Source organism: Homo sapiens, chromosome 14 (genome assembly GCF_000001405.40).
Source record: "Homo sapiens chromosome 14, GRCh38.p14 Primary Assembly".
Taxonomy (NCBI): Eukaryota; Metazoa; Chordata; class Mammalia; order Primates; family Hominidae; genus Homo; species Homo sapiens.
This window is the reverse complement of record NC_000014.9, coordinates 96,455,304-96,478,703: the sequence shown is the minus strand read 5'-3', so window position 1 is coordinate 96,478,703 and position 23,400 is coordinate 96,455,304. Positions and strand designations below refer to the sequence as shown.

Below are 23,400 nucleotides of genomic sequence, written 5' to 3'. Positions count from 1 at the left end.
GGGTCCTGGACATTCACATTATCCTTGAATTCATTTCATACCAATATGTATCGGGTGAATTTCAAGTTCATCAAAATAGTTGAAGACAGTCTCATCGTCGATATTGATGTCCCGGTAGTTGCTCAGAGCCCGGAGGAATCGGTCTTGGCTGTAGTGGGTCCCCGCCACGATGCTCTCAGGAAGGTTTATCACACGCTCCTTCAGAAACTCATCCGAAGCATCCAGTGCACAAACGAATTCTGGGGAGAAGGACAGACTCCAGAGTTGGCACAATACAGCGCAGCTAACTAGCAGGGTGCTGGAGAACGCATGGCCCCCTGGTTACCAGCCAAGACCTCCTGTTGCCACAAATAGCCTGTCCAATTGGCTTTGCTGCCTCTCATGGAGGATAAATAGATGAAAATCACCCCATTTCCAGAGACCACCCTATGAGGCCCAATTAGTATTTTGTGCAATCTATTATTTTCCCTTTCTTCCCCCCTCCCTCTCTTCCTTCCTTCCTCCCTCCCTTCCCCCGCCCTCCCTCTGTCCTTCCTTCCTTCCTTCCTCCCTTTCTAACTAATAAAAGCAGCAGAAATCATAAGTAGCAAATCTCAGATAACCCTGTGATATCAGCTTCCTAGTTAATTTTCACATTGTCTCTTTTCTCTTTTTTAAAAAATACATACTTATATGTATGTATATTTATTTTAGAGAGATACAAGGTCTTACTATGTGCGGGCTGATCTCAAATTCTTGCCTTAAGCAATCCTCCCGCTTTGGCCTCCCAAAGTGCTGGCAGGGATAAGCCACGGCTCCTGGCCTCACGCTGCCTCCTATCCAGCACAATTATCACAGGCTTCCAAAGAGAGCTATGGCTACAAGCAAAATGCTTTGATGGCCAGTTTGCCAAATTAATAAAATGGGAACTCCCCTTGGAATTTTCATGGATCCAGCTCTTTCATCAATGCCATTGGCTATGAAACACTTACGTACAACATGTTATGGTCAGCACTTATCAAATTCAACACACAGATCATGTTAATAATGATGACCATTTTACCCATCTGTGATTTTCTTTTAAACTGTGAAAGCAGCTGTTCCTCCAGCTTCTAGTACAAATTCAATAGATAATTGTTGAGTGAATGAGAGATTTAAGTGTGGATCAGTGAAATAAACTTTCCAAGGTGAGTTGTGATTCTTAGATGTTCTCAACTACAGGAGCAGGGTATACTGGTGCCCAGATCAGTGTCTGGGTGCATCACAAATAGCTTGCTATCTATTAGAGCTCAACAGAACTTGGGAATGATTTGATTTTTGTTCTAAAATTGTATTGGCTTATAACATCATAATGCCATTCTCGTTTACTTGCATTCTAATAAGCTTCCTTGAGTGGGTGAAAAAGGTAAGTGTAATGGGGAAAGCCCACAGGAGGTGTGTCCCCGAGGCATGTGGACATGTGTGAACATCATCTGCTGCAGATGTTAACTGTGAAAACAAAGGCTGAGACAGCGTGTGGAATAAGATCCTATAAATTCATAATAGTTTGATACTACCTCCATTCTGCATACAAGAGGTGTTTTCGCAAGTAAGTTGTTCCTATTTTTTGCTCATCTTTTACCATTTGATTGTCATGATTTTCATGAGTGGCTGCCTTTTGAAAAGGAAGGTAGACATATGAAGCCTCAAATGCTGGTACGGTACTGAAATCAAAAGGATGTCAACAGATTCGCTGAAAATTGAATCCATTTAAGCTCTATGATGTCGGACATCTATATGAAAACTTATTTTCTTTTTAGATTTTTCCCTAACATGATACTCATTTGTTAGAAAATGTATGAACTATGTTAATAATCTATGAATTTCAAAAATATATTCTATCTTTCTTCCAGGCTGATCAGGAGGTGGAAGATTCCAGTTAATCAAATAATGAGTAACATCCTTGGCTTTCCAATTTTCAAAGATTTTTAATATGATAAAATATACTTCTCACTAGATGATTTTTAAAAAAATGTTCATTCTCTTTATGACTCAGAGAACTTCAAGATTCTGCAGTATCTCAAGACAGTTATTCAGAACATCTATTGTCCTTGCACTGGCTAACTGTGGATAGCGAGTAATAGATTTCTGCTTGGTAAGACCGTAGATAACAAGGAGGTCACTGTATTTGGCTATCTGGAATCACATGAAAAATCTATGGTTTTTTTTTTTTTTTTTTTGAGACAAAGTCTCGCTCTTGTCCCCCAGGCTGGAGTGCGGTGGCGCGATCTTGGCTCACTGCAACCTCTGCCTCCCGGGTTCAGGTGATTCTCCTGCCTCAGCCTCCCAAGTAGCTGGGATTATAGGCGTGCACCACCGTGCCTGGCTAATTTTATATTTTTAGTAGAGATGGGGTTTCACCATGTTGGCCAGACTGGTCTTGAACTCCTGACCTCAGGTGATCTGCCCACCTCGGCCTCCCAAATTGCTGGGATTACAGGTGTGAGCCACTGCGCTGGGCTGAAAAAGCTATGTTTTAACAAATTTCCAAATATTAATCAGGTAGGTACAACTTTAAACTTATCTCCTTCAACCAAGAGGTCTTCAAAGAATCAAACTGGACATAGGCTAACAGCAGTGGTAAAATGCAATGGTTGCTCAATGGGAGAGAATACCATCTAGAACTGTATTACCATAGATTGGAATGTGTTTCTTTTATTTTCTGTATCTTATGCTTTGATTTCTTTTTTTTTTTCTTTTTTTTTTTAAGAGACAGGGTCTCACTGTCACCCAGGCTGAAGTGCCGTGGCATGATCAAGGCTCACCACCGCCTTGACCTCCTGGGCTCAAGAGATCCTCCCACTTCAGCCTCCTGAGTAGCTGGGACCACAGGCACATGCCACCACACCCAGCTAATTAAGAATGTTTTTGTGTGTGTGGAGATGGGGGTCTTGCTATATTGCCCATGCTGGTCTCCAACTCCTGGACTCAAGCAATCCTCCTGCCTTAGCCTCCCCAAGTGCTGGAATTGCAGGCGTGAGCCACCACACCTGGTCTGTTTTGACATCTTCAGGGGGGCCTTACAGATCTGGGGAGAGACTGCTGTCCTTCCCAGGCCTAGCCAATACCTAAAGATAGTAACAACTTGCTTGGGAATGCCCCTCCTATGCAAGCCACTCAATCCATTTATCTAATCTCACACAGCAAGCCAGTATTTCCCTTGCCCTAAATCATCCCAGGACCAGGCCCCAGGCAACTAGAGACCACCCGTAAACTCAAACTAGCCAGTCCCGAACGGTTCACTGTGGCCTGTCTTGGCTTTCCCAAAGAAACCCCAACAACGGCATTGATCTAGACCTTTCCCCTTGTTCTTGCTTCTGCCGCCTGACCAAACCTGGCATTCCCCATGTGCCCCCATCTCTAGGGAATCCTAAGTGTAAATTATTTCAATGGCATTGACCTCTCTATGTCACCATTCAGTTCCCTCCCTCAATTAAAATCCTACAAGTACGAATGAAACAATGCCCTACTTTCTTTCAGAGAAATAGAAAATAAAGACAATTTCTGAAAAGTTTGCTAACAACAGATTAACGTTCCAAATAGATTACGTCTTAGACGTGTTTGCACTGTGTCCAACAAAGAATGGAAAGTCCAGTGGCCTACGTTTAAGAGTCCTTGGTCACTTGACCTCTGTGCTTCCATTTCCTTATCTCACAGGCAGGTTTCATTAATTGTTTTGGAGGCAGTGGAGTGAGAAGACCTGAGTTTTAATTTAATCCCCCTACCATTTACTAGTGAGTGGACTTGCATAAATCTCTAGGCTTTAGCTTCTGGATTGGGTAAACATGGGTGTAATTCCTGCCTTGCAGGATTGTGGAAAGGTTCAATGAGTGCCTGGCACATGACAAATTGTGCACGACCAATTGCCAGTTGAACTGAAATGTATCCAGCTGCCTGGATGTTATGGGTGTTATGATTTAGCACAGAGTTTGCAATGAGTGAATATTGCCTAGAAGTGATAAACAAAATGCACTGGACACACCTACCTAGAATTTAATAATCAACAATAAAGTAGATGAACAAACTTTACTTTTTATTTTATTTTTTTAATTAATTTTTTTGAGACCGGTTCTTGCTCTGTTGCCCAGGCTGGAGTGCAGTGGTGTAATCAGGGCACCTGCAGCCTTGACTTCCCACACTCAAGTGATTCTCCTACCTCAGCCTTCCAAGTAGCTGGGACTACAGGTGCATGCCACCACCCCCAGCTAATTTTTTTGATTTTTTTTTTTTTTTTTTTTTAGTAGATATGAGGTCTCACTATGTTGCCCAGGCTGGTCTCTAACTCCTGAGCTCAAGAGATCCTCCCACCTTGACCTTCCAAAGTGCTGGCATTACAGGCACTGTGTCTGGCCAATCAACTTAGCCCACAGGCAAACAATAAATATCCATCCCCAAGGATGACTGCTATCTGGTGGTCTCAGTCCTTCCAGAAGCTTCTCTGCAAACTGTGCTGGACCAAGAGAAGAAAACAGCCACAAGCTGCCTTCCTCGGGGACTTGATACCAGTGAGCAGGCAGGCCCTTTTCAGTTACAGCCTTGTCCTAAGTTGCTGAAAATAGCTTTTCTTCTAGCGATCATATGACCCAAAATGATTCCCTATGAATATCTACCTCAAGCAAACTGACTAAAAACAACAACACTTTTTAACGTTTACAGGAAGGTCACAAGAAATGCCTGCTCAGTACTAAGTAAATCCTGTTGTGTACGATAAATTGCTTATGCTTTGCTTTCAAGAGTACTTTGTGAAATCCCTGTGTAAATATGTGATAGAATAAAACCACTGTGGAGTTAAGAGTGAACTGAAAAGCTTTTGACCTGTGCAATCTCAAGTCAGAAGCTGAATGTCTTTTGGAAGAGATGAGGGCACGGTTAGCACCAAAACCAGGGCAGGGAAGGAGGCTACATGACTCACGAAGTCAAGCCATCAGCAGATTTGCTACCTTTTGCTTTGTTACAGGAGAGAGCAGTGGAAGACAACGTTCCCACAGGGATTTCTATTCATTTCAGCAATTTAATATTCCTCATGTTTATCCGTTGGTGCATTCTCTAGTTTGCAAGTTTATGCTTGAGAATGTCTTTTAATATTTTTCCTAAAAAAAAAAATCCTACTTTATTAAACTCAAAAAGATTCTTTTGGCACAAAAGGGATATTGGGCTACTCTAGGCACACTGCCTATGGTGTAGCCCTGCTCCTTAAGAAGTAGTTAAAAAAAAAAAAAAAGAGCCTGGGCAAGGTGGCTCACACTTGTAATCCCAGCACTTTGGGAGGCCAAGGCGGGTGGGTCGGGAGATCGAGACCATCCTGGCTAACATGGTGAAACCCCGTCTCTACTAAAAATACAAAAAAATTAGCCAGTCATGGTGGTAGGCGCCTGTAGTCCCAGCTGCTGGGGAGACTGAGGCAGGAGAATGGCGTGAACCCGGGAGGCAGAGCTTGCAGTGAGCTGAGATCGCGCCACTGCACTCCAGCCTGGGCAACAGGGCAAGACTCAGTCTCAAAAAAAAAAAAAAAATTAGCTGGGCATGGTGGCAGGCACCTGTAGTCCCAGTTACCGGGGAAAACAAAGAGAAAAGAGAGAGATATCAGACAGCATTCTTCTTTTCTTTTGAAACAGAGTCTCTGTCGCCCAGGCTGGAGTGCAGTGGCAGGATCTCGGCTCACTGCAATCTCTGTCTTCTGGGTTCAAGTGATTCTCCTGCCTTAGCCTCCCGAGTAGCTAGGACTACAGGCACACGCTACGACACCCAGCTAATTTTTGTATTTCTAGTAGAGATGGGGTTTCGCCATGTTGGCCAGGCTGGTCTTGAACTCCTGACCTCAGGTGATCCACCCGCCTTGGCCTCCCAAAGTTCTGAGATTACAGGCGTGAGCCACCACGCCCAGCCCAGAGAACATTCTTTTAAATGTGATCTTAGGGAAATAAACTTACCAGGTATAATTAATTTATCAAAGGGAAACATTCTGCCTCTGACATCATCTTCCTCCTCCTCATCTTCCTCTAAGAAAACAAAATATTCCTCATTGTGTTTATTAATATATTATTACTATGGATCACAGCAAAAAATTCCAAATATCTTAAGTAGCAAGCACTAATGAAAACTAGCCATAAATAGCACATGTATTTTAGAAATAGTCTCACAAACTAAATGTACATTGATAGATGCATGGATAAAGAAAATGTAGTATATACATCCAACAGAATACTATTCAGCCTTTAAAAAGAAGGAAATGGCTGGGCATCATGGCTCACACCTGTAATCCCAACAATTTGGGAGGCCAAGGCAGTAGGATCACCTGAAGCCAGGAGTTCAGAGATCAACCTGGCAACAGGGTGAAACCTCCATAACATTTTTAAATTAGTCGGGCGTGGTCATGCACGCCTGTAGTCCCAGCTACTCGGGAGACTGAGGCAGGAAAACCACTTGAGCCCAGGAGGTCAAGGCTGCAGTAAACTATGATTGTATATATCACTGTGCTCCAGCCTGGGTGACGGATGGTCTATTTTTTTTTTAAAGGAAATTCTGCTATATGCAACAACAAGGATGAACCTTGAGGACATTATGCTAAGTGAAATCAGTGACAGAAAGACAAATGCTACATGATTCCACTTACATGGGGAACTTGAGTAGTCAAATTCAAAGAATGAAAGAGTGGGATGGTGGTTGCCAGGGGCTGGGGAGGGGAAAAAACAAAAGTTACTAATCAACAGGCGTAAAGTTTTAATCAGGCAAGATGCATAAGCTCTAGAGGTGTGCTGAACATCACAGTGCCTATAGCCAACGATAATGTATCGCACACTTAAAAGCTTGTTCCGAGGGCAGATCTCGTGTTAAGTATTTGTGCCACAATACAATAAAATAAAATTTTAAAAAATTTGTAAAAGGCTATGCACCTTGAGCCACCATCCAGGGGGAAAAAAAAAGAAAAAAAAAAGCTACGTAAAGAAAGGTGAGCCAAAGCTCAAAAATAAATAGTCTCTCTAGTTTTCTGTTTACTTTAATTGAGTGACTACTTCTCTGAACAATAAAGTTGCAACTTATCTGAATATAAATACTCAAAATAGAACACTCAAACTTACGATTGAACAGGTCTTTTGCTTGATCATAGGTCTTTGGGAATCCATCCAAAATATAACCTTGATTCCTGCAAGGCATTGATTTTAGCTTTTCTTTCATAAATCTAATTATATATTGATCGTCTAGTTGACCTGATAAAAAAACATATATGTATATATTACTTATAATGTATCACATTCTAAGTAAGAGTTGTTTTAAAGTTATCTCAAAAATTGTTGTGTAGTCAAAGGTACTATTGGAAATCCCTATTTTGCTTTTTTTTTTTTTTTTTTTTTAAAGAGACGGGGTCTCACTCTGTCGCCCAGGCTGGAATGCAGTGGTGTGGTCATAGCTCACTGCAGTCTCAGCCTCCCAGGCTCTGCAATCTTCCCACCTCAGCCTCCCAAGTAGCTGGGACTATAGGCGCTTGCCACCATGCCCCACTGATTTTTAAACGTTTTGTAGAGAAAGGATCTTGCAATGTTGCCCAGGCTAGTCTTGAACTCCTGGCCTCAAGCAATCCTCCCACCTTGGCCTCCCAAAATGTTGGGATTACATTTTGGCCCTTAAAGTAAAAAATATGTGATTTTGTACTTTGAACATGATGTGAATTCTAATGCACAGTAATGTAGGAGAACCCAGTGAACTTGTCTGCAAGAAAGAGCATGGGCGAGTGCCGATGTCTGCACTTTCAAAGTGTTCTGTAATCCCAATTTTTGGTGAAATTGATTGAGGAGCAGCAACTGGAGTAATGCAGAGAGCTCCGCCCGCCCGCAGGGTTTCTGTTTTGATATTACACCTCTGTAACCTTACTATACAATAATAAATGCTTCTGTTGTGAGAATTGTGAGATAGCATTCATGTTTGTTGCCAGCACATAATTTACTAAAAGAAGGTGCTGGATTTGACTAACAATCAAACTTGACCCGACCCTCAAAGGCACTTTTCTCTGTAATGCTTCAGAAAAGAACACGGCTCCCTTCTCCGTGTCTTTTCCAGTTGGCATTTCTGACCTCAGCCCCACTGGACAGTTCCCTCTCAAGCCCTGACACTGGGTTCCTGGCACTGCTTGGGAAGGATGAGGAGGGAGGAGTTTGTTCTAAAACTGGCACAGTGGTTTAATAACAACATGATGCAACTCCACCACAATATCCATCACTCCATCATAATTATTGAACAGCTACAATGTTCAAAACGCAGCCCCATCCTTACCTTGCTTAATGTGTACATTATAGTAATGTAAGTTTGACAAGTTAGGGAAATTGATCTTCAAAGCTCTTTCCAGAGTTTGTACTATTCCTTTACCTTATCAGTGAATCTATTATTCTTTTACCTTATCAGTGACTCCCCCTCCTCCTCTCCCTCCTCATCCTTCTCCGCCTTCTCATCCTCCCCCTCTTCCTTCCCTCCTCCTCCCCCCTCATTTTACATAATGTAAAATAAATAATTTCAGGCTTCTTTTTTATTACTCTATCAATGACAATAAACTGATCTAATTAAAACACCTCTCCCGGGCGGGCGCGGTGGCTCACACCTATAATCTCAGCACTTTGGGAGGCCAAGGTGGGTGGATTACCTGAGGTTGGGAGTTCGAGACCAGCCTGACCAACATGGAGAAACTCTCATCTCTACTAAAAATACAAAATTAGCCGGGCGTGGTGGCACATGCCTGTAATCCCAGCTACTCGAGAGGCTAAGGCAGGAGAATCGCTTGAACCCGGGAGGCGGAGGTTGCAGTGAGCCAAGATCGCACCATTGCACTCTAGCCTGGGCAACAAGAGTGAAACTCCATCTCAAAAACAAAAAACAAAAAACAAAACACAAAACACCTCTCCTTTCTTCTACCTTTCAGTGTCACACCATCCATTAGGCAGTAGCAGGTTCCGAAAATAACTGTCTTTCAGAAATTTAAATATTATGGCTAAGACAAAAAAAGATCTTAAGTATTATTTAACATAATGAAATTCCTCTGAATGATTCTACATTACTTCCCAGTAAGGTTCACAGGGGTGCCAAGAAATGAAGCCAAATAAAAACGTGTCAAGGGATTCACTAATATTCTAAATCTGGTTTTATTTAAGCCGTCTATTTTCTTTTTTGTTTTTTGAGACAGAGTCTCATCCGTTACCCAGGCTGGAGTGCAGTGGTGCAATCTTGGCTCACTGCAACCTCTGTCTCCTGGGTTCAAGAGATTCTCATGCCTCAGCCTCCCGAGTAGCTGGGATTACAGGTGTGCACCACTACGCCCAGCTAATTTTATTTGTATTTTTTAGTAGGGACAGGGTTTTGCCATGTTGGTCAGGCTGGTTTCAAACTCCTGACCTCAGGTGATCCACCTGCCTCAGCTTCCCAAAGTGCTGGGATTACAGGAATGAGCCGCCGCCCCCGGCCTAAGTCTATTTTCATTTTTCAAAGGCTTTGTTGTTAAATTAAAGGCACTTAATCTAGAAATCTAGCTGCAATTCCCTTCAATGCCTCCCTCAGTTTATTTCAGGCCCTGAGCTTAGCCACTCATTTCTGCTTGATTCGGAACGAAAGTGCTCAGTAATTAAGAAGGGACCTCCAGCAGCATTTTTTGGTAATTATGGGATGCTTACAAGGCATGACCCAGTACACAAAGGACCCAGTCCAAGTGCCTTTCTCTTGAGAAATGTGATCTCTTAGAGATAATCTCATGACCTTTGGCCAGGGTTCAGCTGTATGGCAGGCAACTGCGCTTTCTGTTTGAAAATGAATGAGCACAGCCCTCCTACATAGCTTTTAAAAATGTCATCCTGCTTTTTCTAAAAAAAAAAAAAATTAAATGTATCTTTCAAATGCCAGTAATATTTAAAATGTTCATATGAACACATATTCATAATTACTAAAACATGTTTAAAAATAGAGAGCTGCTCCCCTGAGCAGTGGTGGGAATGTGAGGGACGGCATTTGAGATGACAACCTGGCTTCTGTCCCCTCATCCCCAGGAAACTGTACTGTCTTAACTGATGATGACCAAACAGCAAGCAGTGATTTCACAAAGGAAAGAGTGCAGGCCGGGCGTGGTGGCTCACGCCTGTAATCCCAGCACTTTGGGAGCCCGAGGCAGGTGGATCACGAGGTCAGAAGATTGAGACCATCCTGGCTAACACGGTGAAATCCCATCTCTACTAAAAAATACAAAATAATTAGCCGGGCGTGGTGGCATGTGCCTGTAGTCCCAGCTACTCGGGAGGCTGAGGTAGGAGAATGGCATGAACCTGGGTGGCGGAGCTTGCAGTGAGCCGAGATCGCGCACTCCAGCCTGGGCAACAGAGTGAAACTCCTTCTCAAAAAAAAAAAAAAAAAAAAAAAGGAAAGAGTGCAAAAGCTATGTATTTGTAGGAAGTCTGCCTCATGAGAGAGATCACCCTTCTTTCTGTTTTTTTTTTTTTTTGAGACAGGGTCTCCTGTCACTCAGGCTAGAGTGCAGTGTTGGGATCTTGGCTCACTGTGGCCTCTACTTCCTGGGATCAGGTAATCCTAGTGCCTCGCACACCACCATACCCAGCTAATTTTTTTTTTTTTTTTTTTTTTTGTAGAGACGGGGTCTTGCTATGCCACCCAGGCTGGTCTCAAACTCCTGGCCTCAAGTGATCTTCCTGCCTCAGCCTCTCAAAGCGCTGGGATTACGGGCGTGAGCCACCATATGTGAGCCACCGTATCTGACTTTTTTCTTTATAGAAGCAGAAGCAAAAGTGTTCCACTTGGGTCCCAGTTTGAACTTGGTAAATAAATGTACCTCAGAACTAGAATTATCCATACAGTTATTCTTAAAGATAATGAGAAATGAAACAAAATGAGTGGCTTTTTACTCAGTTCACCAGGCAATGGGTAAAACTCCATTGTTTGCTGAGATACAAAAGTTTAAAAATCTACATTCTCATCCAGGCAGTTTGATATTTGGATAAATTTGTCTAAATCAGGTAATGTCCGTAAGCAGCTCAGGGAAGAAATACCTTAAGAAGCAGCAGCCGGGCAGGGTGGCTCACGCCTATGATCCTAGCACTTTGGGAGGCCGAGGCGGGTGGATTGCCTGAGCTCAGGAGTTCGAAACCAGCCTGGTCAACACAGTGAAACCCCGTGTATCTACTAAAAATACAAAAAAATTAGCCGGGTGTGGTGGCGTGCGCCTGTAGTCCCAGCGACTCGGGAGGCTGAGGCAGGAGAATTGCCTGAACCTGGGAAGCAGAGGTTGCAGTGAGCCGAGATTGCACCATTGCACTCCAGCCTGGGTGACAAAGTGAGAAAGTGAGAATCTGTTGCCAAAAAAAAAAAAAGCAGCAGCAAAAGATGGCTCTTGGAAGAAATTTTGGAATCTTCAATTTGATCTAATTAATATGGACACATTAATATTGCAAAATCTTTCATACTGCACTAATTTGTTAAAAGAACTGTGTATTGGAGTTTGCAATTTAAAACTAACTGAGGCACAACGGACTTGTTTAAAATATTTTACTTGATTATACATATACACTTTCCAAAATTCTTATGTAATCTCTAGTGGACTTTTAACTGGTCAAAGTTTGTGTTTATGAGAACCTTTGCCTTTTTTTTTTTTTTTTACATATTCGTCTACACTTACAGATTTCCTCAGTAATATTCTGAGTTGTTGGTTATTTGCTTTCAGTTACATTTTTTATTGTGCATGCAGAATGTGCATTGCTGCCCGAGACTTTAGGTTCATTATAGGTTTATTTGGGCAGCATTAGAAAAAAAATACCATAAATCAAGCCAGCATTTTAATAAGGCCAAAACAAAGTTGGTGATCTAAAGGCTTGTTAATGGTATGGAGTTTCTACATGACGTTAGTGAAAAATGAGGGTTGTTTTCTATTAGGAAAATGGGCAACTCTCTCCGGCCGTGTATTTTTCATGTTAATCCTGACAGTTCACCAATGAGCTAGTCATGAAGAATGTAGGCAGTTAATATCACTCCAGGAACGGGCCAGGTGCTCACACCTGTAATCCCAGCACTTTGGGAGGGTGAGGCAGGAGGATGGCTTGAGCTCAGGAGTTCAAGACCAGCCTAGGCAACATAGGGAGATCTCATCTCTACTAAAAATAAAAAACAAGGCCAGGCAGTGTGGCTCACACCTGTAATCCCAGCACTTTGGGAGGCTGAGGCAGGCGGATCATGAGGTCAGGAGATCGAGACCATCCTGGCTAACGTGGTGAAACCCCGTCTCTACTAAAAAATACAAAAAAATTAGCCGGGCGTGGTGGCGGGCGCCTGTAGTCCCAGCTACTCATGAGGCTGAGGCAGGAGAATGGTGTGAACCCAGGAGGTGGAGCTTGCAGTGAGCCGAGATCATGCCACTGCACTCCAGCCTGGGTGACAGAGCGAGGACTCTGTCTCAAAAAAAAAATAAATAAATAAGTAATAAAAATTAAAAACATTAGCCAGGCATGGTAGCTACTTGGGAGGTTGAGGTGGGAGGATTGTTTGAGTCCAGGAGATAGGGGCTGCAGTGAGCTATGTGCACCACTGCACTCCAGCCTGGGTGACAGAGCAAAATCCTAACCTCCCCCACCAAAAAAACTTCCTCCAATTGTTCCTTCCTATGTTGTATATCATTTGGTTTCTTTTTTTTTTTTTTTTTGAGATGGAGTCTTGCTCTATCGCCCTGTCTGGAGTGCAGTGGCATGATCTTGGCTCATTGCAACCTCCTCCTCCCAGGTTCAACCAATTCTCCTGCCTCAGTCCCCCGAGTAGTTGGGATTACAGGCATCTGCCACCGCACCTGGCTAATTTTTGTATTTTTAGTAGAGACAGGGTTTCACCATCTTGGCCAGGCTGGTTTTGAACTCCTCACCTCATGATCTGCCTGCCTCGGCCTCCCAAAGTGCTGGGATTATAGGCGTGAGCCACTGCGCCTGGCCTCTTTGGTTCTTTTACTCACCTACTTGAATACTTGGATAAACCATTCACCAGGTAAAATAAAAGGATTTTATTTTAATCCTTTTACATAAAATAATCTGAACTCTGACAAGTTTCATAAAAGCTTTTTGGCATTAATCTACTTTTAGTGTATTGATAAAACAAACAAAAAGAAACACGGTTTTCCTTTACTTTGACAAAGAAATGTAATTTTTACCTTATTTGTATGGAATTCCAGAATTAATGTATTTTTAGCCTTTTTTTTTTTTAAACGGAGTCTTCGCTCTGTCGCCCAGGCTGGAGTGCAGTGGCATGATCTTGGCTCATTGCAAGCTCCGCCTCCCGGGTTCACGCCATTCTCCTGCCTCAGCCTCCTGAGTAGCTGGGACTACAGGCACCCGCCACCACGCCCGGCTAATATTTTTGTATTTTTTAGTAGAGACGGGGTTTCACCATGTTAGCTAGGATGGTCTTGATCTCCTGACCTCGTGATCCGCCCGCCTCGGCCTCCCAAAGTGCTGGGATTACAGGCGTGAGCCACGGCACCCGTTCTTATTTTTAGGTCTTTAATACAGTGTTTCTGCCTCTCATTTGTAACTACATGCATTATTCTTGAAAGCAAGTAAACTCACTGAATTGTTGTGTAATAGTCGTTTAATTATTGCCTGTACAAATGTATATTGAGGTAAAATAAAACTGACAAAATATTTCTAGGGTACAGTTGGATCCATACTAAGTGGCTTGTCAAGCTAGATACATCCTTAGTGGGTCTGGAGACTTGGTCATGAATATCCTTTGTCCTAACCGGAGTGACTCCATCTTGAATAAAGGCCAGATAAAGCCAAACCTGCTGGGTGACATTCCCAGGGGGTTGAGCACTTTTGGTCACAAGATATTTATGGTTGAGGGACTGAGTTAATGATGCTAACTAACTAAAGACCCAGAACTTATAGAAATGTCCTGATATTTTGAGAACAAAAAGCATTCTTAGTTTAAGAATAGGTTTTGCTTTAAAGATAATAGTACACTTGTAAATTCTCACTGAAATCAATAGTAACATAGCATACTTATGTTCTTAAGTAACATAAGAAACAATACTAATAGCCTGTCACAAGTTGACCATAAGCCTTTATAATAAAGTACACTATTCTCTCTCTTTCTCCTTTTTTTTTTTTTTTTTTTTTTTTGGGACAGGGTCTTGCTCTGTCACCCAGGCTGGAGTCTCGGCCACACCACAGCCTTGACCTCCCGGACTCAAGGGCTCAAGCCATCCTCCTGTGTCCCCGCCAAAGTAGCTGGAACTATAGGCACGCACCACCACGCCTGGCTATTTTTTTTGTATTTTTTGTAGAGGTGGGGTCCTGCTATGTTGCCCAGGCTGGTCTGGAATTTCTTGCCTCAAGAGATCCTCCCACCTTGGCCTCTCAAAGTGCTGGTGTGAGCCACTGCGCCTGGCCAAGTACACCATTCTTAACAACCTATACATGCAAGCACTGTTTATAGTATGGCCTTCCCCCTTGTGCTTTCTGAAGACGCCCTACTCTGTGACAGAGTAGCTTTCAATAAACTATCTCTTCTCACTGTGGGGTATTCCTTCTCTTGTTTTCTGAGGACACCCTACTCTGTAATAGAGTAGTCTCTAATAAACTATCTTAACTTCACTATACTCTGTGGCTCACCCTCAATTTTTTCCTGCGTGAGATCTAAGAACCTGCTCCTGGGATCTGGGATGAGACCCCCTAGAAAGGGGTAACATTGCACCAGGATCAAATTCTCAGTGACTGTCATGCAGCCACGTCCAGGCTTCCACAGACACAGACTGTTTGGCGGTGACCCCACCCTTCCCTGTTATTGGTGACACTGTACTTTGTGTAAGTTTTTAGAGTTCACAGTGCAATTGCATTCATGTTCTCTTGGTTATCATTGTGTTACCTCAGTTAATCCTCCAAGCTGGTGGATTTATTCTGTCTTCTCCTCTCCTCTCTTTTTTTCCTTTTTTTTTTTTTTTTTTTGAGACAGAGTATTGCTCTGTCGCCCAGGCTGGAGTGCAGTGGTGTGATCTCAGCTCACTGCAAGCTCCGCCTCCCAGGTTCACACCATTCTCCTGCCTCAGCCTCCCGAGTAGCTGGGACTACAGGCGCCCGCCACCACACCCGGCTAATTTTTTTGAATTTTTAGTAGAGACGGGGTTTCACTGTGTTAGCCAGGATGGTGTCGATCTCCTGACCTCGTGATCCGCCCGCCTCGGCCTCCCAAAGTGCTGGGATTACAGGAGTGAGCCACCGCGCCCGGCTCCTCTCTCTTATTATTATTATTTTTTTTAACACAGGATGAAACAGGTTCAGAGAGAGGCAGTGACTGGTCTGAAGTCAGGAACTAAGCAAGTGGTCAAGCCATGCTTGGTGACTTCCAAGTGCATTCTTCATCTTCTTGTTTAATAAAGTCTTGTGGAAGATGGTATGTGAAACAGCGAGTCTCAACAGCAGAAAAGAACGCAATGTTAATTCATGAGTCATGGTCATGGTTCTGATTAGACTTCCACTGCCAAGGTTAACTGGTTTTTTGTTTGTTTGTTTGTTTGTTTGTTTGTTTTTTGAGGCGGAGTCTTGCCCTGTTGCTCAGGCTGGATTGCAATGGCACAATCTCAGCTCACTGCAACCTCTGCCTCTAGGGTTCAAGCGATTCTCCTGCCTCAGCCTTCCGAGTAGCTGGGATTACAGGCATCCACCACCACACCCGGCTAATTTTTTGTACCGTTAGCAGAGAGAGGGTTTCACCATGTTGGCCAGGCTGGTCTTGAACTTCTGACCTCGTGATCCGCCCTCTTTGGCCTCCCAAAGTGCTGGGATTACAGGCATGAGCCACCAAGCCTGGCCAAGGTTAACTGTTTTAAGAAATTTTGCCTTGATTACAGTAATAATATGTGTTTTGTTTAAAAAAAAAATTAGATAGCTGCAAGCCAAGATTTTACAATGACCCATGTACAGTAGAGACATCAACAAGTTGGTACATTTACAGACTTTTCTTCCCCTTTTTATTTTGAAACTCAGAAAAGTTGATAGTCCAATGATCACCAGGAATCCTACCAACTAGATCCAGTAATTTCACAATGCTTTTGAAATATGTAAAGTGAGCACAAAATCTGTAATTAGCACACTCTATGGTGTAACAAAGCCCTTATTTTGCTGCACCATCAGGGGCCGATGGGAGTGGAGTTAGGACATGGAGGGGCCTCACTGTGGGACTGGGAAACTCGTTTTGCTAGAATCATTGGAATCATGTGATAACAAATGCAGTCATGTGAGGGAAAGGTGAGGTAACCTCAGTGCCAAGGGTTCAAAGGTCTTGTTTTGTTCAAACATAGGCAAGGTCCATGTTTTCGTCTCAGGTAAATACGGATAGGAGGGATTTTTGGACACACTTGAGAAAGTTAAAAGGAACCGAATGATTCCAATCTTGTAGGAAGTGGGGAAGTGGGGAGTCACATGTGGGTGAGGAGCTTTGAGGGACGCTGGCTGTTCTAAAGATGTATCTTCCCCACACGACCACTTCCTCTGCCCCCTCCCAGGGCCCCTCTTACATCTCTCCTGACAGAGGCTGCTGAACCTGTTTGGCCTCTCACACCTGGGGGAAGAACAGAGTGAGAGGACAGGCCCTCTGGAGCCTGGGGGCCTCAGTGAGTGTTCTCAGCTGGGCACTATCTCTGCTCCAATTCTTGTTCTGTGTGGTCACCTCCCCAAGCGTGAAAAGAGCTCAGTTGGTACTTAACTGTTAGGTTAAGCCTTGGATAAGATTTCTGGGCCCTTGCAAAGGCCAATTATATGTCTTTGTCAATAAATAATGCTTGGCCAAGCACAGTGGCTCACGCCTGTAGTCCCAGCACTTTCAGAGGCCAAGGCAGGCAGATCACTTGAGACCAGGGGTTTGAGACCAGTCTGGCCAACATGGCGAAACCCCGTCTCTACTAAAAATACAAAAAATTAGCTGGCCATGGTGGTGTGTGCCTGTAATCCCAGCTACTCAGGAGGCTGAGAATTGCTTGAAGCCAGGAGGCAGAGCTTGCAGTGAGCCGAGATCACACCACTGCACTACAGCCTGGGTGACAGAGTGAGACTCATTCTCAAAAATAAATAAATAAATAAATAAATAAAGTTCAATGTTTGCTGAGTCCTGTTAGCCTGATTATTAGACATTCTTGTCTCTCCTTAGGGGATGGCATAGTTCCTTGCTCCTGGCACCCTGTTTCTAGCCTTACACCCCAGCTGTAAGCTTTACTTACACATGGCCATGTACACTGTGGCTTCCTAAAACTCCCAGTCCCACACCCCTCAATGTGACCTTGACAGATTTCCTTCCACAGATGTCCTCACAATGGAATGTCTTATCTTGTTTTTTTCCACCTCACCCAAAAGGTAAGCATCAGAACTCTGCTAGACTTTTTTTTGTAGACATGGGGGGTCTTGCTATGTTGCCGAGGCTGACCTCAAGCAATCTTCCCACCTTGATCTCTCAAAGTGCTGGGAATATAGCATGAGCCACTGTGCCCAACTCCACTCTTTTAGACTCTCTAAAACCAACATAGTGCTCCCCAAATGTCTTATGGGAAGGCAGAGGCAATGTTACATCCCCAAGCATTCATCTGGGCACTCCTTTCCCCTCTGGGAAATCTCTCTGGAATTCTAGATGCCATTTCCTTGTGGTGCAGCTCACAATGAAGCAGAAACCAAGACTCAGATGATGGGCTGGTTTCAGCGAACACTTGGTGTTTGCATGCAAAACCACCTCCTCCATCCCAGAAAACTAGGTTGATCTGGTGGAGGGGAGGAGGAGAGAGGTTCAGGGCTAACCTGGCCTTCAGGGAAAGGGTCGGGGGACTAGAGACCTCCATGGAAGCAGGCAGTGACAAACATAAGGAACCAGGGCCAGGGACCAGAGTGAACCCTCCTTAAGCTGGCCAATGGCAAATAGCCCCGGTCAGTCGCGTGCTCCCTGAGTGGAACATGGGTGACATGGACACCTGGTAGGGAATGGGATGAAGTTAGGAGAGGGAAACTAGGTCTCCAACCCAGGTGGAGGTGAGTAGCTGGGAAGAGGACAACCTCTATGGCAAAGGGGTGGAGTACCAGAAGACCAGTGATGGCCATGGAGGCAGTCAAGAGCCATGCCCCGGCGGTGCAGTGGGCAGTTCTCAGTAGGAGAATCTCAAGAGCCCCTGAGAGATGACAAAGGAGCAGCAAGCATGCCGTCTGTCACCCAATGCCAACTTACATCCGAGTTGGCCACATCCTTCTCTGTCCTTCTCCCCTGTCCTTGATCCCTGGAGGATCAGAAATGGCCACCAGCAAGAAGGGAGGAGGAAGGAAGAGGAGAGAAAATAAAGGTGGTTGAGAAGACGGCAAGGGGAGAAACTGCATTAGATGAGTCCGAAGGCGATACTACAATAACCAGATGATGGAGGAGCTCAACTGTCCAAGTGTAAACATGATGAAATGGCTTTATTTTTCTAATAACTGCTACTGACTGCTTTCCTGCAGGTAGCAAGATCCCTTAGAGACCTCTCAGTTCAAAACCCAGTTTGTAATTATTTGATTGGAACAGACTTCCTAAAGCATGAATAAACAAAGGGGCTACTCACTATCTAAGAGTTGCAATGGAACCAGCCTGAAATTCTATCCAAGGGAAAGAATGAATCCAGTTTGAGTTCAAAGCGACACCTTACTGTGATTACTTTGTTCAACAAACTGGCTACAATGAATCACTGAGTAAGAATAATTTTCCATTTATTTCTACGTCTTCCTGTATTACGTATTGGCCCATTTCATTAATCCATTTTTTTCTTTTCTTTCTTTTTTTTTGAGAGGGAGTCTTTCTCTGTTGCCCAGGCTAGAGTACAGTGGTGCGATCTCAGCTCACTGCAACCTCTGCCACCCAGGTTCAAGCGATTCTCCTGCCTCAGCCTTCCGAGTAGCTAGGATTACAGGCACCTACCACCGTGCCTGGCTAATTTTTGTAGTTTTAGTAGAGACGGGTTTCATCATCTTGGCCAGGCTGGTCTTGAACTCCTGACCTCGTGATCCACCCTCCTAGATCACGAAGTGCTGGGATTACAAAGGGATTACAAAGGGATTACAGACATGAGCCACCGTGCCCGGCCTCATCCATTTTTTTCTATTAAGGATTTCATAACTCTCTTATCAATTTGCCTGAACATTTTATATATTAAGGACATTAACTTATCATATCAGTGGCAATATTTTTTCTTGGTTTGTCCAATTAAAAGGACAACCAACTGATTGGTTGGAGTGCAGTGCTGTGATCTTGGCTCACTGCAACCTCTGCCTCCTGGGTTCCAGTGATTTATGAACATATGTGTGATTTTTTTTTCTTTTTTTTTGAGATGGAGTCTTGCTCTGTCACTCAGACTGGAGTGCAGTGGCACGATCTCGGCTCACTGCAGCCTCCACCTCCCGGGTTCAAGCGATTCTCCTGCCTCACCTTCCCGAGTAGCTGGGATTACAGGCACGTGCCACCACGCCCAGCTAATTTTTGTATTTTTAATAGAGATGGGTTTTCACCATGTTGGCCAAGCTGGTCTCAAACTCCTGACCTCAGGTGATCCGCCCAACTTGGCTTCCCAAAGTGCTGGGATTACAGGTGTGAGCCACCGGGCACAGCCGATTTTTTTCTTTTTAACTTAGGAAGTTCTTCCCCATCCTACCAACAGATCATCACCAAAATGTTAACAATGAGATTATGAAGGATTTTTTTTTTGTTATAATTTCTGTACTTCACCTTTTTTTTTTTTTTTTTTTTTTTTTTGTTGAGACAGGATCTTACTCTGTCACTGAGGCTGGAGTGCAAGGGCATGATCATGGCTTACTACAGCTTCAACTTCCCAGGCTCAGGTGATCCTCCTGCCTCAACCTCCAAATAGCTGGGACTATAGGCACATGCCACGATGCTCAGCTAATTTTTTTTTTTTTTTTTTTGAGACAGAGTTTCACTCTTGTTGCCCAGGCTGGAGTGCAATGGCGTGAACTTGGCTCACTGCAACCTCCGCCTCCCAGGTTCAAGCAATTGTCCTGCCTCAGCCTCCTGAGTAGCTGGGACTACAGGTGTGCGGCACCACATCTGGCTAATTTTTTGTATTTTTAGTAGAGATGGGGTTCACCATGTTGCCTAGGCTGGTCTCAAACTCATGACCTCAGGTGATCCACCCGCCTCGGCCTCCCAAAGTGCTGGGATTACAGGCATGAGCCACTGTGCCTGGCCATGCCTAGCTAATTTTTGTATTTTTTTGTAGAGATGGGGTTTCGCCATGCTGCTCAGGCTGGTCTCAAACTCCTGGCCTCAAGTGATCCTCCCACCTCAGACTCCCAAAGTGCTGGGATTACAGGCATGAGCCATGGCGCCCGCCTGTAGTTCAGTCTTTTTTTTTTAAACAGTCTTTTATAACCAGATTTTTAAAAATAGCCACTGTTCACAAGAGCAGCGTGGCTCTCTGCTGGGTGTGTGTTACCTGCATTCTGCTCCATGCTCTCCTTGATGCCATCTAGGAGCTCCTGTGCATCTTCCACATTCTCCTCCTCCTCTTCCTCTTCGACTTCTTCTTCTCCTTCCCCTACATCGTTAGGGGCAACAATCGCCTCCTGCATACCACAGGGATATTCACATTGGATGATGCCCCACATCCATTTGCTATTCACAAATCAGCTGGCAGGTGATCCTGGAAAAAGCTTGGGATCCAAATAGGACAGGTACCCTATGACAGCTGTCATGCAAAATTTTGCAGGATGCACATATCCACAAAGACACATGAGATCCTTGAGGTTTTTCTTACAGCATATTTAAGAGAATAGTATATTTTTGTGCTAATGCCAGAACTGCTTGAGCCAACATCTTTCTAATGTGTTATTCTAAGGTATTGGGTTGTATCTTACTTGAAGGAACCACATGTTGCAGAAATCAAGACTTTTAATAATCATTTATGAAAGCTACCTCAGTATCTGCCATTTCCAATAAAATGATACAAAGCAGTTTATAAATAAAGTTTGATAATACCCCGAGAAACATACAACACTAATAAAACACCTACAAGCGTTCCAGGCAACAGAGAGAACACAAGCTATACTTTGAACCACAGCTGGAGGCAGACTAAATTTCAAGGGCAACCCACAGAAGCTGCTTCCGTCTCAGAGGACAGCCCTGTAGAGTGTTGTGTTTTCATAACTGGGGGCAACAAGAACATCCAATTAAAATAACAAATCTCCTGTTTACTGACATACAAAATTAGTTGCTTGTTTATTATAAAACTAAAAAAAGCATTTCTAAAATGTTAAAATTCCCAATAAAGTAGTTACAAGCCATTTCAGGCTTGGCACGGTGGCTCACACTTGTAATCCCAGCACTTTGGGAGGCCAAGGCGGGCGGATCACCTGAGCTCAGGAGTTCAAGACCAGCCTGGCCAACATGGTGAAACCCCGTCTCTACTAAAAATACAAAAATTAGCCGGGCATAGTGGCACACACCTGTAATCCTAGCTACTTGGGAGGCTGAGGCAGGAGAACTGCTTGAACCCAGGAGGTGAAGGTTGCAGTGAGCCAAAATCGTGCCACTGCACTCCAGCCTGGGTGACAAAGCAAGACTCCATCTCAAAAAAAAAAAAAAAAAAAAAAAAGCCATTTTACAAGATGGCTCTGAAGGTAAAGAAGGAAGCTCCTTTCTTTCCCGAAGCCAAAGCAAAACCTTTGAAGGCCAAGAAGGCAGTGCTGAAAGGTGTCCACAGGCACAGAGAAAAGAAGATCCACACGTCATCCACCTTCTGGTGTCCCAGGACACTGTGGCTCCGGGGGCAGCCCAGACATCCTCCCAAGAGTGTCCTCAGGAGAAACCAGCATGACCACTCTGCCATCATCAACTAACATCCCCCGACCCCTGAGTTGGCCACGAAGAAGACGACACAAACACACACTTGTGTTCATTGCGGGTGCCAAAGCCAGCAAGCGCCACATCCAACAGGCTGTGAAGAAGCTCTCTGACGCCAGTGTGGCCAAGGTCAACACTCTTCTCAGGCCTGAGGGGGAAGAGAAGCCAGATGTTCCCCTGGCTACTGATTAGGACACCTTGGATGTTGCCAACAAAATTGGGATCATCTAAACTGCATCCAGCTGGCTAATTCGAATCATATACATCTTTATACCCTAAGAACAATACAGTAATTAATTAAAATGCCCAGGAAAATAGTTTAAAGTGTTACCAGTTTTGCTATGGCTTCAGAAATGACATCCTTCAGTTGGATGTGATGCAGTTTGTAGTAGTTGGCCAATTCTTTAGCAATACTGGATTTTCCCACAGCAGGGGGACCAAGAATGCAGATCTTGATTGGCTGAAAGAGGAGAGAGTAAGGAACATACAGCAAGCTCTGAATGATCTGTAGCTAGACAGAGTGGTTTTTTATTTCAGGGGAGTGCTTTTTTTTTTTTTTTTTTTTTTTGAGACAGAGTCTCTCACTCTGTTGCTCGGGCTGTAGTGCAGTGGCATGATCTCGCTTACTGCAACCTCCACCTCCCAGGTTCAAGCGATTCTCTGCCTCAGCCTCCCGAGTAGCTGAGACTACATGTGCGCACCACCATGCCCAGCTAATTTTTGTATTTTTTGTAGAGACGGGTTTTCTCCATGTTGGCCAGGCTGGTCTCAAACTCCTGGTCTCAAGTGATCTACCCACCTCAGCTTCCCAAAGTGCTGGGATTACAGATGTGAGCCACCACGTCTGGCTGGGAGTGCCTTTTGAAAATAAAGTCTCTGGACCCTGCAGGCTAACTCTCACTCTTCTGTGGAGACTCCAGAGTCACGCCTCTACCCCCACCACCACCACCAGGGTGACTGCCACATCATCCCGAAAGCGTCTGCCGCCTGGTCAGACAGTTCATGTTCTGGTTCATGTCCATTCATTCAGTAGGTATTCAATAGGCACCAACTACATGGGCTGATCTGGGGCTGGTGGATAGGGCCACATAAGAAGATGTATCAGGAACAACTCAGATCACTAAAGAGTAAGTGCTCAGGAATTACACACTGCCAGTTTCACAAGACAGTGCACAGTACAGGGCATTGTGCTACCTTTGGAACAGTAACAAAGCAAAGAATTTCTGGTTTGGTGTGCAAAGGGCCTAATTTACTGCCTGAATACTATTTCTGTACTGAATTTGGTCTTTAATTATTTGTTTTGTTTTGTTTTGTTTTGTATTGAGATAGGTGCTCCCACTGTTGCCCAGGCTGGAGTGTAGTGGTGCAATCACAGATCACTGCAGCCTCGAACTCCTGGGCTCAAACCATCCTCCCAGCTCAGCCTCACAAGTATCTGGGACTACAGAGGCACACCACCATGTTCGTCTGATTTTTATACTTTCTGTAGAGATGAGATCTCAC

At 44.2% G+C, this 23,400-nt stretch overlaps 1 protein-coding gene and 1 pseudogene across 10 annotated transcripts in view, besides 1 other annotated feature; one reads left to right on the top strand and one right to left on the bottom strand.

The window, feature by feature from the left end:
• The window catches only part of AK7 (adenylate kinase 7), a 97,300-nt gene that overhangs the window by 10,724 nt on the left and 63,176 nt on the right, over window positions 1-23,400 (bottom strand). For 4 of the 10 annotated variants that reach the window (XM_006720021.3, NM_152327.5, XM_006720022.3 and 1 more), the window contains 5 exons: window positions 22,229-22,357; window positions 20,492-20,621; window positions 7,098-7,226; window positions 5,949-6,017; window positions 42-239 (listed from right to left, as the gene is read on the bottom strand). In XM_006720021.3, the coding sequence (XP_006720084.1) occupies window positions 42-239; window positions 5,949-6,017; window positions 7,098-7,226; window positions 20,492-20,621; window positions 22,229-22,357 (655 nt within the window). The remainder of the gene's footprint in view (window positions 1-41; window positions 240-5,948; window positions 6,018-7,097; window positions 7,227-20,491; window positions 20,622-22,228; window positions 22,358-23,400) is intronic. The other 6 variants (NM_001350888.2, NM_001350890.2, XM_047430913.1 and 3 more) reach the window with 2 other exon arrangements.
• Window positions 4,466-4,666: a silencer, noted in NCBI's record as "peak2245 fragment used in MPRA reporter construct". NCBI's record gives its function as "represses an SCP1 promoter by STARR-seq MPRAs in K562 erythroleukemia cells {active_cell/tissue: K562}" and the evidence as "EXISTENCE:reporter gene assay evidence [ECO:0000049][PMID:32103011]".
• Window positions 21,651-22,175, top strand: RPL23AP10 (ribosomal protein L23a pseudogene 10; annotated as a pseudogene).